This window comes from Homo sapiens, chromosome 16 (assembly GCF_000001405.40).
Source record: "Homo sapiens chromosome 16, GRCh38.p14 Primary Assembly".
Taxonomy (NCBI): domain Eukaryota; kingdom Metazoa; phylum Chordata; class Mammalia; order Primates; family Hominidae; genus Homo; species Homo sapiens.
The window spans coordinates 1,513,785-1,526,335 of NC_000016.10; the positions used below are offsets into that span (position 1 = coordinate 1,513,785).

Genomic DNA, 12,551 nt, shown 5'->3' on the forward strand with positions numbered 1-12,551 from the left:
TGCCTCAGCCTCCCAAGTAGCTGGGACTACAGGCGCCCACCACCACACCCGGCTAATTTTTTGTATTTTTAGTAGAGACGGGGTTTCACCGTGTTAGCCAAGATGGTCTCCATCTCCTGACCTCATGATCTGCCCGCCTTGGCCTCCCAAAGTGCTGGGATTACAGGCGTGAGCCACTGCACCCGGCTGCTTCTCACAACTTTCTGCCTCAGGGTAGGCCCAAGTCAGGGCCAGTGTGGGCATCAGCCACCTCGAAGCCTGCCCTCTTCCAGGCTTAAAGAATCAGAATCAAGATTTTTGTTGGCCAGGTGCGGTACCTCACGCCTGTAATCCCAGCACTTTGGGAGGCCAAGGTGGGTGGATCACGAGGTCAGGAGATCGAGACCATCCTGGCTAACACGGTGAAACCCCGTCTCTACTAAAAATGCAAAAAAAATTAACTGGGCGTGGTGGCGGGCGCCTGTAGTCCCAGCTACTCGGGAGGCTGCAGCAGGAGAATGGCATGAACCAGGGAGGCGGAGCTTGCAGTGAGCCGAGATCACGCCACTGCACTCCAGCCTGGGCGATAGAGCGACACTCCATCTCAAATAAATAAATAAATAAATAAATAAAAGATTTTTGTTGACCACAGCAGCTGGAATGTGAAGGTGGAAACGTTGGGATGCAGCAGGCATAGAGGGGATCCCAAATCCTGAGCATATGCTGCCCTCGTCACTAGTTGCTCCCACACTACACATGAGGCAGGGGAGGTGCAGACTTTAAGCCAACTCACGCTACAAGCAGGGATTTCAGCTGCTATCCACCACAGGGGAAAGAGTTTCGGCTCTGAGCTGAGCAAAGGTGATTGCCTAATAAAATGAACCAAAAAAAAGCAATACTCTTTGGAGGAATGTAACAGAATCCAGAGTCTCTACAATGGATTATCCACAATGTCCATGATACAAAAAAATGACTAGACATAAGAAACAGGAAAATTTGACCCATACTCAAAAGGCAAGTAATGGAGATCAATCCTACATGACCCAGATATTGGAACCGGTAGCTAAGATTTTACAGCAGCAGTTACAACTCTGCTTTAGGATATAAATATAAAATATATTTTAAACAAATTAACAAATAGGGAATTTTAGCCAATAAATAATAAAAAGAACTAAGTGTAAATTCTAGGGCTGCAAAATACAAGCTCTAAAAAGATTGCTGGAGAGGTTAACAGCAGATTGAAGATAGCTAAAGAAAGTCTAGATAAATACAAATTAATCCAAAGGACAGAAAAAAAGAAAATAATGAGCAGTAATCACAAATGTGTGTCTACTAGATATGGAAGACCTAACATTTAATTGGAGTCCCAGAAGGAGAAAAAGAGCAAATTTCCCAAATTTGGCAAAACACAAATATAGATCCCAAAAGCCCAGGATAAATACAATGAAAACACCTAGGAACATCATTATCGCACTGCTGAAACACAAATTCAAGAAGAAAGTCATGACAGCAGCCAGTGCAGTGGGAGATGGAGAGACACATGACATGTAAGGGCCCCACAGACAGCCCATAGCTGACTCTTCCAGAAACAATGGAGGCCCAGACAGGGAAAACATTCAAGTGCTGAAAGGAAAAAAATCTGTCAAATCAGGATTTTTTTTGAATCAGGATCTTGCTTTGTCACCCAGGCTGGAGTGCAGTGGTGCTATCACAGCTCACTGCAGACTCAACCTCCTGGGCTCAAGCAGTCCTCCCACCTCAGCCTCCCAAGCAGCCAAGACTGCAGGTGCATGCCACCATGCCTTGCTATTTTTTTCAGAGATGGGGTCTCACTTGTTACCCAGGCTGGACTTGAACTCCTGGCCTCAAGAAATCCTCCCACCTTGGCCTCCCAAAGTGCTGAGATTACAGGCATGAGCCACTGTGCCTGGCCTCAGAATTCTCTATCTGATGAGAACAACCTTGAAGAATACAGGCAAAATAAATACATTTCAGATTAACGAAAAGTAAGAAAATTCATCATCAGGAGATCTGAACTAGAAGAAATGTTAAAGGGAGCTCAGGCTGAAGAGGAGTGATACCACATGCAAATCGGAATCATAGGGAAGAAGTAAGAACACCAGAAATGACGCTTTGGGAGGCCGAGGCAGGCAGATCACCTGAGGTTGGGAGTTTGAGACCAGCCTGACCAACATGGAGAAACCCCATCTCCCCTAAAAATACAAAATTAGCCAGGCGTGGTGGCGCATGCCTGTAATCCCAGCTACTCCGGAGGCTGAGGCAGGAGAATCACTTGAACCTGGAGGGTAGAGGTTGTGGTGAGCTGAGGTTTGTTGCCCACTCCAGCCTGGGCTACAAAGAGCAAAACTCTGTCTCAAAAAAAAAAAAAAAAAAAAAAAAAAAAAAAAAAAAAAACACCAGAAATGGATGGTAAATATGTAGGTAAATGTAAAAGACTATTTCTTTCCTTTTAATTTCTTCAAAATACATATGACTGTTGAAAGCAACAATTATAACACTATACTGTGTTTATAATACATGTACATGTTACACATACGACAAATACAGGTGGGGACACGGGTGGGAAATGGACCTACCTGCTAACTCTAGTGTGGTAAGTATGTTTATGGTAATCTCCAGGGCAAACACTAGAAATACAATGCAAAGAGGAGTAGAGATAAAAAGCTGATAGCTAAAATGAAATTATAAAAAATAGTCCACTAAGGCCAGGTGCGGTGGCTCACGCCTGTAATCCCAGCACTTTGGGAGGCCGAGGCGGGCGGATCATGAGGTCAGGAGATCGAGACCATCCTGGCTAACACGGTGAAACCCTGTCTCTACTAAAAATACAAAAAAATTATCTGGGCGTGGTGGCGGGCGCCTGTAGTCCCAGCTACTCGGGAGGCTGAGGTAGGAGAATGGCGTGAACCCGGGAGGCAGAGCTTGCAGTGAGCCGAGATTGCACCACCGCACTCCAGCCTGGGCGACAGAGCGACACTCTGTCTCAAAAAAAAAAAAAAAAAAAAATCAACTAAAAAGAAGGCAGGAAAAAAGGTTTAAAGTAACAATAATAAAAACTGGTAGAAAAAGTTGACTGGTAGAAAACTGACATGAAAAAGATGGATGGGATTACCATCAGAGTGAGACACTGCAGAAGGAAAGCTGGTAAACTTGAAGCAACAGAAATGGCAAATCCCTAAAATGAAAAACAGAAAAAGTCCTTGGGGGAGAAAAGAAGAGCATCAGTTGAGCTAGGGGATGGTACTGTATATACAAGTCATTGGAATTTCAGAAGCAGAGGAAAAAAGGAATAGAAGGGAACTTCGGCCAGGCGCGGTGGCTCACGCCTGTAATCCCAGCACTTTGGGAGGTGGAGGCGGGTGGATCACTTGAGGTCACGAGTTCAAGACCAGCCTGGCCAAATGGTGAAACCCCATCTCTACAGGCATGCTGATGCACACCTGTAGTCCCAGCTACTTGGGAGGCTGAGGCAGGAGAATGGCGTGAACCCAGGAGGCGGAGCTTGCAGTGAGCCGAGATCGCGCCACTGCGCTCCAGCCTGGGCAACAGAGTGAGACTCCGTCTCCAAAAAAAAAAAAAAAAAGTACAATAATAAGAAAACCCAATAAAATGATGAGAAGAGACTTGAAGCCTTCACAGAAGGTGTGTAAATGGATAATAAGCACATGAGAAGGAGCTGCACATCACTACTCATCCAGAAAATGTGAATTTAAACCTCAGCAAGGTACTGTTCACCCCCTAGGATGGCTACAGTTCGAAAGAATGATCAAATGTTGGTGGGGATGAGGAAAACGCTAGAACACTGCGGCTGAATAAGTGATTAGCTGGTCACTTTAAAGTGACTACACGCTGTCTCTAAAATTAAAAAATAAGCGACTAAAAAATGGAACACCATTTTCTTTTTTTGTGAAAATCCCTGAAAAAGAAATCGTGGTTATTCAGACTCGGGTACATGCAGACATTTCTTCACAAATAAAGTAAGTCTGTCGCTTTCCTGCGACACTGCTAGTAACAGCCAGTAACAGCGTGAGACTGTTACTTTTTGCTACCGACAGATTTTTTTTTTCTTTTGAGACAGGGTCTCGCTCTGTCACCCAGGCTGGAGTGCAGTGGCGCCATCAGATCTCACTGCAGCCTCAACCTCCTGGGCTCAAGGGATCCTCCCACCTCAGCCTCCCAAGCAGCTGGGACCCCAGGTGTGAGCCACCATGCCTGGCTAATTTTTCCCCTTTTTGTAGAGATGGGGTTTCACCATGTCGCCCAGGCTGCTCTTGAACTCCTGGGCTCAAGTCATTCTCCTGCCTCAGCCTCCCAAAGTGCTGGGATTACAGGAGTGAGCCGCCACACACAGCCTCAGTTTGAGCCGTTAAGCCTTCGTTTCAGGAGCCTTGTGTGGCGGGATGCTGCTAGTGAGCAGCACTCAGGCCTCACCGTCTGGTATTCCTCCTTCCGCACGTAGTGCTCCACCAGGAAGCCATAGACGTCCCCGATGCGGATGGTGCTGTCCAGGTCTGGTTCCTCCAGGAGCAGCTCACACTGCTTGATGGACTCCTTGGGGTCCTCTGTGTACGTCCTGCCGAGAGCAGAGATGAGGCCTGGGCCCCGAAGCCCTGAACACCTACTGCTATCAGAGGTCAGAGGAGACTCTTGGCCTGTAAGAGGAGCTCTCCGGAATGGCAGGAGGAAACTTTCTATGAAGTTAAATTCATTAATTCCTTAATTTGTTCATTCATAAATTAACTCATCCATGTAACATTCTTACTGATCACTTGAATGCTGGGTCCTATGCTTGGACTGAAGACCAAAGACTTCCGACCCCTAGTTCCTGCTCTATGGAACAGTCCAGAGGGGGCTAGAAACCTCTGCACAAAGCGTGACCCAGAGGGGATGTGGTGCATGTGGACAGGGTACACGGAGAGGCGCACGGCACCCCTTGCCCAAGGCCGCTGGGAAGAACCCTCCAAGCAGAGAGGCTGCCCGCACACAGGCTGCGTGTGTGACCTGGCGTGAGGGTCTGTGGCAGAGCAGGGTGTGTGGCCTGTGAGCTGGGGTGACACCAGGGAGGTGAGCCTGCTGGAACACAACATGGTCCAGGGCAGGTGACTGGAGCCGTGTGGAGCTCAGGCTCCCATGTCAGGAGGGTCCAGGGCCCATCTGGCCACCCACTGACTCGGCCATTCCAGACAGGCGCCTGGCCTGCCCTCTGACCCCTGGCCCATAGAAGGTTGCCCACCCTGGCCCTCACACGTCGTCTCCCCTCCACCCACGTCCTGTGCTATCCCTGATGACCAGCTGCTATCGATTCTCCTCCGCTCCTGCCCTGTGGCCTCAGCTCAGCAGACATCTGTGAGACGCTGATACCCCAGAATCGACACGTGCAGGTGGACCGTGCCCTTCCAAGGGGCACCGCTTTGTACGACCTTGTTCAAAGGACTTCTGGAACTCTTGTTTTGGAAAAGGTTCTCCGATAAGGAAAACAGCCCTGCCAGCTGAGACAGAAGCTGGGCCCTGAAGCGCACAGGCGAGTGCCCACCGTGGTGGCCACACAGCAGCTCTCTGAAAAGCTGAGTCACCTGCCCATAATAAAGATGGGGAGGTGTTCAAATAAACTTAGCATCTTGGCCTCTCCTGAAAACCGAGACCATCGGCTGGCTGCCTGGGTCTCCTCTCCACAAGCTTGGAGCTGGTGGCAGTTGACCTGTGGAGAGGCATGAGCCCTCTGGTCACCATGGTCCCCCAACCCCAGGTCACACAGCGGCACTCACTCAGGACTCCCCTGCCCGGCCCCTGCACACCCTCAGCAGGTCTGTGGCTCCCCAGACACACCCTCTCCTGCTCCACATCTGCCTCCTCCTCCCACTCCCCCACCAGGTTTCTCTCTCAGCGTCTCTGGTGTTTCCAGAACACCTTCCCAAGGCTGTGCCCGGGCTCTGAGGGCTCCCAGGAGGAGGTGGGGTGTGTCTTCAGCAGTAGTGCTGTCCCAAGTGAGCTCCCATCTGCTGTCCTGCCCTTTTGCTGGCTGGGGTTTCTCGTGGTCAGCCCCGGCCCTGTAGTCACATCTGCCCTGGCCTGTCCCCGCTGGCCCCGGGGGCACACCTGCGGGCCTGGATGAACCTCTTCACCAGTGCCATCCTGCTCTGCAGCTGCGCCAGCCTGGTCTCCTGGTCCAGGGGGCTCTTGGCCTTGGCCTTGGCCAGGCACTTGTAGGCCTCGGTCAGCGCCCCGTGGGCTTTGTCGTAGTTCTGGTATTCATCAATCTCCACCTGTACAGATGAAACCCGTCAAGACCTGCCGGGCTCCACAGCCCTCCCCGGGGCCCCGCTGGCATGCCAGGGAGGGCCTGCACCTGGGCACAAGCGTCATAAAAGCCAGCCAGGAGGTCCAGGGCCCGCCCCTTGGTGTAGAAGCCGATGATGTTCTTCATGATCTCCGGCTCCTTCCGCCAGTCCAGGGACTGCAGGTAGTTAGCAGCCATGATGTAGATTTCCTTCTGCCTGGACACGCTCGCGAAGAACGTGATTTTCTCCGTGTCTCCGGATTTGAGCAGCGCCCTCATGGCCTAGGCAGAGAGACAGCGGGGCTCAGGCAAGCAGGGGCTGGGCCGGGACAAGCACAAGGGACCCCGAGCAGGAGCTCTCACAAGAAGAGTGGCTCAGGGCTGCCCGGTAGAGAGAGATCTTAGTGGTTGTGCTCTTCCTGGCCAGAAAGGCTCAGCCCTAGCTTGGGGTCATCACGAAGGCAAATGGAGATGCGTGCAGGGGGCCCGCAGCCTAACTGCCTGTGAGGTAGCCGCGGGCTGGGGCCGGGAGAGGCTCACCTTCAGCTTGTTGCCGGCCTGCGTGTACTTCTTGGTGGCCAGGTGGTAGCTGCCCTGGCGCATGCAGCAGTCTGCTATCTGCTCCAGCAGCTCCCGCCGCGACTCCTCAGGCAGGTCCGAGGAGTCCTTGGCCACGGTCATCTTTTCCGCCATCTCCTCGGTGATGCTCATGTTCTGCCCCAGGCACAGCTGCAGGGCTTCCTGATACTGCAAAGGTGCAGAAATGGGACGGGGCTGCCGAGGGGGCCGGGAACTGAAGTGCGCCCCTCATCTGCCACCGCTTCAGAGGAAACCAGGCCCCTCGGCTCAGCGGCGGCTTCTGTCTAGCTGGGGTGGGTATGGAGGGGACAAGGATGTCTCCCCTGCCTCACCAACCTACAATCATTCACGTTACTTTCTCACGCTGTTAACATTCCAGAATGGAACGAAGGAAACAATAGTCTCAAGTGATATATGCTCAAGAGAATATTACGTTTGGGAGAAAAGGAAATTGGTAATTTTCTTCTATAATTCTGAATTTTTAAAGTTAAATTTTTGAGACAGGGTCTCACTCTGTCCCCCAGGCTGGAGTGCAGTGGTGCAGTCACGGCAGCCTCCACCTCCCCAGGGTCAGGTGATCTTCCTACCTCAGTTTTTGTATTTTCAGTAGAGACGGGGTTTTGCAATGTTGCCCAGGCTGGTCTTGAACTCCTGGGCTCAAGCAATCCGCCTGCCTTAGCCTCCCAAAGTGCTGGGATTGCAGGCACAAGCCACCGTGCCGGCCTGATTTTCCTAACATTTTAAGAAATATATATATTTTTTTCTGAGGTGGGGTTTTGCTCTTATTGCCCAGGCTGGAGTGCAGTGGCACAATCTTGGCTCACTGCAACCTCCACCTCCCGGGTTCAAGCCATTCTCCTGCCTCAGCCTACCAAGTAGCTGGGATTACAGGCGCCCGCCACCATGCCCGGCTAATTTTGTAATTTTTTTTAGTAGAGACAGGGTTTCTCCCTGTTGGTCAGGCTGGGCTCAAACTCCTGACCTCAGGTGATCCACCCACCTCGGCCTCCCAAAGTGCTGGGATTACAGGCGTGAGCCACCACACCCAGCCCTCATTTTAAGAAAAATTTTACATTCTTCACTTGAGAATATGTCTTAGGCCGGGCATGTTGGCTCATGCCTGTAATTCCAGCACTTTGGGAGGCCAAGGTGAGAGGATCACTTGGGCCTAGGAGTTTGAGACCAGCCTGGGCAACACAGTCAGACCCCCATCTCCACAAGAAAAAAAAACAGTAATAACCCACAAATATATATGAAGTAATAACACATTTATATTTAAAAAAAAAAAAAAAAAGAATATGGCTGAGCATGGTGGCTCACACCTGTAATCCCAGCACTTTGGGAGGCCGAGGTAGGTAAATCACCTGAGGTCAGGAGTTCGAGACCAGCCTGACCAACATGGAGAAACCCCGTCTCTACTAAAAATACAAAATTAGGCTGGATGCCATGGCTCATGCCTGTAATCTCAAGCACTTTGGGAGGCTGAGGAGGGTGGATCATGAGATCAGGAGATCGAGACCATCCTGGCCAACATGGTGAAACCTCGTCTCTACTAAACACAGAAAATTAACACAGGTGTGGTGGTGGGCGCCTGTAGTCCCAGCTACTCGGGAGGCTGAGGCAGGGGAATTGCTTGAACCCGGGAGGCTGAGGTTGCAGTAAGCCAAGATTGTGCCACTGGACTGCAGTCTGGGTGACAGAGAGAGACTCTGTCTCAAAATAAAAATAAAAATAAAAATACAAAATTAGCCGGGCGTGGTGGTGCATGCCTGTAATCCCAGCTACTGGGGAATCTGAGGCAGGAGAATCACTTGAACCCGGGAGGTGGAGGTTGCGGTGAGCTGAGATCGCCCCATTGCACTATAGCCTGGGCAACAAGAGTGAAACTCCATTTCAAAAAACAAAAAGAGAATATGTCGGCCAAGCATGGTGGCTCACGCCTGTAATCCCAGCAATTTGGGGGGCCGAGGCAGGCAGATCACGAGGTCAAGAGATCGAGACCATCCTGGCCAACGTGGTGGAACCCCATCTCTACTAAAATACAAAAATTAGCTGGGTGTGGTGGCAGGCACCTGTAGTCCCTGCTACTTGGGAGGCTGAAGCAGGAGAATCGCCTGAACCCAGGAAGTGGAGCTTGCAGTGAGCCGAGATTGCGCCACTGCACTCCAGCCTTTCCACCCTTAGTAGCCCAGTAAAAAATGGCATCTCCGTGAATTTTGATATGTATTTCTATCATGAATAAAGCTAAGCATTTTATATTTGGGAACCACCCATATTTCCATTTGAATAAACTGTTCCTGGCCAGTCACAGGGCTCACATCTACAGTCCCAGTGCTTTGGGAGGCTGAGGCAGGAGGATTGCTTGAGCCCAGGAGTTCAAGACCAGCCTGGGCAACACAGCAAGACCCTGAGTCTATGAAAAAAAATTTAAAAAATTAGCTGGGGATGGTGGCACACTCCTGTATTCCCGGCTACTCAGGAGGAAGGAGGATTGCTTGAGCCTGGGAAGTTGAGGCTGCAGTGAACCAAGATGGCACCACCACAGTCCAGCCTGGGCAACAGAGCGAGACCCTGTCTCAAAAAAAAAAAAAAAAAGGCTAAGATGGTAAATTTTGTGTTCTGTGTGTTTTTACCCCCCACCATAGGTGAGTGCACCATTCCCTGTGTATGATCAGATGCCAGCGTGAAGGATGGCGAGTCTACACTTGCGGACCTCCTGGGTGTGCCGTATGTGAAACCTAGGGCAGGGGGCACCCACCGCAGCCTTCCTGGAGAACTCATAACCAAGCAAGCAGCCATTCCCACAGCCTCTGGGGACAGGAGACCTGAGCCGTGGTGCCTGCGTGGAGCCGAGCCCAGGCCCCGCTGGCCCCGTACCTTCCTGGCAGCCAGCAGCAGCTCTACCGCCCTCTCGTACTGACTGTGCTCGATGAAGAAGTCGGAGCAGCGGGCCAGGAGCGCAGGGTCTGACGTCTCATCCAGGTCCTCTGCTATGAGCTGTAGGGCCACAAACTGCTGGGTGGCAAAGGCCAGCTCCAGGGCCTTGGAGAAGTGGCCAGCCTGCGGATACGGTGGGCTCTGAGCAGCTGCCCGAGGCCTGGGGGCCCGAGCACGGAGGCCTCGCACAGGCAAGGGCCCCCTGGCTTGCTGCCCCTCCCCCAGGTCCCCACCGGTGGCCAGCCCTCACCTTGTGGTACAGCATGACCGCCCTGTCCATCTGCACGCCCTTCTCCTCGTAGTATCGGGCCGCCTCGATCATGTCCTCGGGGGAGCTCAGCAGGGCCAAGTTCATGAGCTGGTCGTCCAGGCCGTTCTCCTGCAGGGAGGGAGGCAGGGCCCTGAAGCGGCTCCCACTGGCTTCCCCAGGTCCGCTGAGATTCTGGAATGTGGCCGGGTGCGAACCCGCCCCTTCACTTTGACACACTGCTCAGCGATCTCTGCGGTGATGGGTTTTAAGGAGCTGATGACTTACTGGGTTTGTCTACAAGGATTTTCCGATGCTCTGGGTTCTATTTCACAGAGCACTGCAAGAAATACCTGACACGGGAGATGCTTCTGGAAGCGAGAGCCCAGGTTGGGACATTTGTGTGGTGCAGAACGCCCAACAGCTATCTAGGAAGGGTCTGCCGTCTGCAAGGCCATAGGCCGTGAGCAGCCTCACCACCCACTCAGGAGCCCTGGAGCCTGGGAAACATCTGGGGACAATTCAGTGCTTTGCAAACAATGTCAGATGGAAGCGGCCAGGGGTGGGCAGAGGGGTGGGCGGGTGAGGCAGACGGGGTGAGCAGTGAGTGGCAGACACTGGCCGGACCACGTGTCACTGACACGATTCTCTCTGTCCACTTTTCCACTTGAAGCTCTCCTCAGGGGACCTCGAGAAGCGCCGGCTCCCCACCCCGGGCCCGTGGTACCTTGCACAGGCGGATGGCATTCTTGAAGGCCTGTGCCCGGGTGTAGAAGTGCACCGCCTGCCCGACCTCCTCCTGGCTCTCGTACTGGCGGGCGAGGTGGTAGGAGGCCGCCAGGTTTCCTGTCTCGTTGGCTATTTGCGCAGCCTAGAAAGACAAAGAACCCAAAGACGAGACACGGTGGCCTTGTGTCTGCCTCGTGTCCGCCTGGCCGGCTCCCCTGCGGGGACCTTACCTTCTGGACATTGCCCTGGAAGCAGTGGATGCGGACCAGGGAGAAGTGGTCCCGGGCCAGCTCGTAGTAGTGCAGCGCGGCGTCCATCTCGCCCTGGCTCTCCAGGTACTGCGCCCACCACCGCCACAGGGTCCTGCGGGCAGCCCAAGACCATGGATTCTCCACCCGAGCCCCGCTCCAACCCGGGACGGCCCCCACCCCGCCCCTGTGCCACCCTTAGAGTGCATGTCACCTGACCTGCAAACAGGCTGGGCCAAGAGTGAGGACCCCTGGCTTTGTCCAAAGGGAGGGCCTGGCTCAGGGCCCTGGCATGGCTCTGAGGAGCCGGGAGGACGCTGCCCACTCGTGCAGGAAGCACGGGAAAGGGAGCCGTCTCAGCAAGCCCTGGGGTCCCTGCAAACCTCCAGGATGGAGTGCGGTCCCACCAGCCCTGGTGGGGACACTCACTTATCCTTCATTTTATTCACGTAGAGCTCCAGGGACGGCAGGTCCTCCGACAGCATCCTGGGCACCTCGAAGCGGTGCGTGTCCGACTTCTCGTAGCTGTGAGAGAAGGAGACAGAGGTCCTCGTTCCCTCCCATCCCAGCCCCACGGGAACCGGGTGGGCTGAGGGGCAGCGTCGGTGAAACGCATCAGAGCGGTGGCCCTCGGGGTGTGTGCTCCTGGCCTGCAGCTCTGCAGACCCTGAGCACACGTGGCCAGGGGGCAGTGGGGGCTTCCTGCACTGTGGGGGCCCGGGAGGCGGGTCGCCCATCCACACCCCGGGAACGGGTCTAAGAGCAGCTCCTCCTCTGGAGAGGGTGACATGGGGTTTGTCTGTCCTCAGGAGACATCAGGCCCATCTGTGCTCGGCAACTGACACCACCAATGGGACAGACATCTTTCTGTCTCCTGCCTGGGAAGCTGGGTGGCCCAGGATGGAAGGGGCAACCCCACATCTCCGAGACTCCCAGAAGCTTCCTGCCGAGAAGGCTGCCACCACCCTGAGACAGACGCCTCCTCTAAGAACCTCCCTGGCCACCTCACCACAGCACACACAAGAGGCCTCACAAGCCAGGGCCATCCAGAGAGGCAGGGAAGAGGCCGCGAGGGCCGCACTCACTAACTGAGGGCCCGGCTGCAGTCGGCGCTGGCCTCCAGGTGCCCGGCATAGCGGTGGTAGGTGCTGCGCAGGTGCACGCGATCGTGGTGCTCGGCTACCTGGAGGGCCTCCTGCCACCGGCCCGCAGCCTGGTAGAACTTGTTCAGGAGGTCGTGGCGCTTGCACTTCCTGTACAGCTGCTCGGCGTCCTCCTGAGGAATGAGGATGGGCAGGTGTCGTGCAGCCTCCACACACCCACGTCTCAAACACACTGTTCCACGCCAGGCCACCGGTCACCGCACCTTCCCACACCGCCAAGCACACTGACACACGGGGCCGCTGTGGGCACAGCAAACGCCACACACCCACGGGGCATCCCCGTCCCACGGCTGGAGAGTGAGATGCACCACCAAGGGGTACCCCACCTCCCACAGCCCCCCTCCCACAGCCCCCCCTCCCACAGCCTCCCC

At 53.9% G+C, this 12,551-nt stretch overlaps 1 protein-coding gene across 12 annotated transcripts in view, besides 1 other annotated feature; it reads right to left on the minus strand.

The window, feature by feature from the left end:
* Positions 1–12,551, minus strand: part of IFT140 (intraflagellar transport 140) — a 101,646-nt gene that overhangs the window by 3,358 nt on the left and 85,737 nt on the right. For all 12 annotated transcript variants that reach the window (XM_047434970.1, NM_014714.4, XM_006720990.4 and 9 more), the window contains 10 exons: positions 12,103–12,293; positions 11,447–11,542; positions 11,000–11,132; positions 10,768–10,911; positions 10,044–10,172; positions 9,734–9,916; positions 6,818–7,024; positions 6,347–6,559; positions 6,097–6,263; positions 4,432–4,573 (listed from right to left, as the gene is read on the minus strand). In XM_047434970.1, coding sequence (XP_047290926.1) covers positions 4,432–4,573; positions 6,097–6,263; positions 6,347–6,559; positions 6,818–7,024; positions 9,734–9,916; positions 10,044–10,172; positions 10,768–10,911; positions 11,000–11,132; positions 11,447–11,542; positions 12,103–12,293 — 1,605 coding nt within the window. The remainder of the gene's footprint in view (positions 1–4,431; positions 4,574–6,096; positions 6,264–6,346; positions 6,560–6,817; positions 7,025–9,733; positions 9,917–10,043; positions 10,173–10,767; positions 10,912–10,999; positions 11,133–11,446; positions 11,543–12,102; positions 12,294–12,551) is intronic.
* Positions 10,723–11,922: an enhancer, noted in NCBI's record as "CDK7 strongly-dependent group 2 enhancer chr16:1574508-1575707 (GRCh37/hg19 assembly coordinates)". NCBI's record gives its function as "activates an origin of replication core promoter dependent on BRD2, BRD4, P300/CBP, MED14 and CDK7 cofactors, with strong dependence on CDK7, by STARR-seq in HCT116 cells {active_cell/tissue: HCT116}" and the evidence as "EXISTENCE:reporter gene assay evidence [ECO:0000049][PMID:35650434]".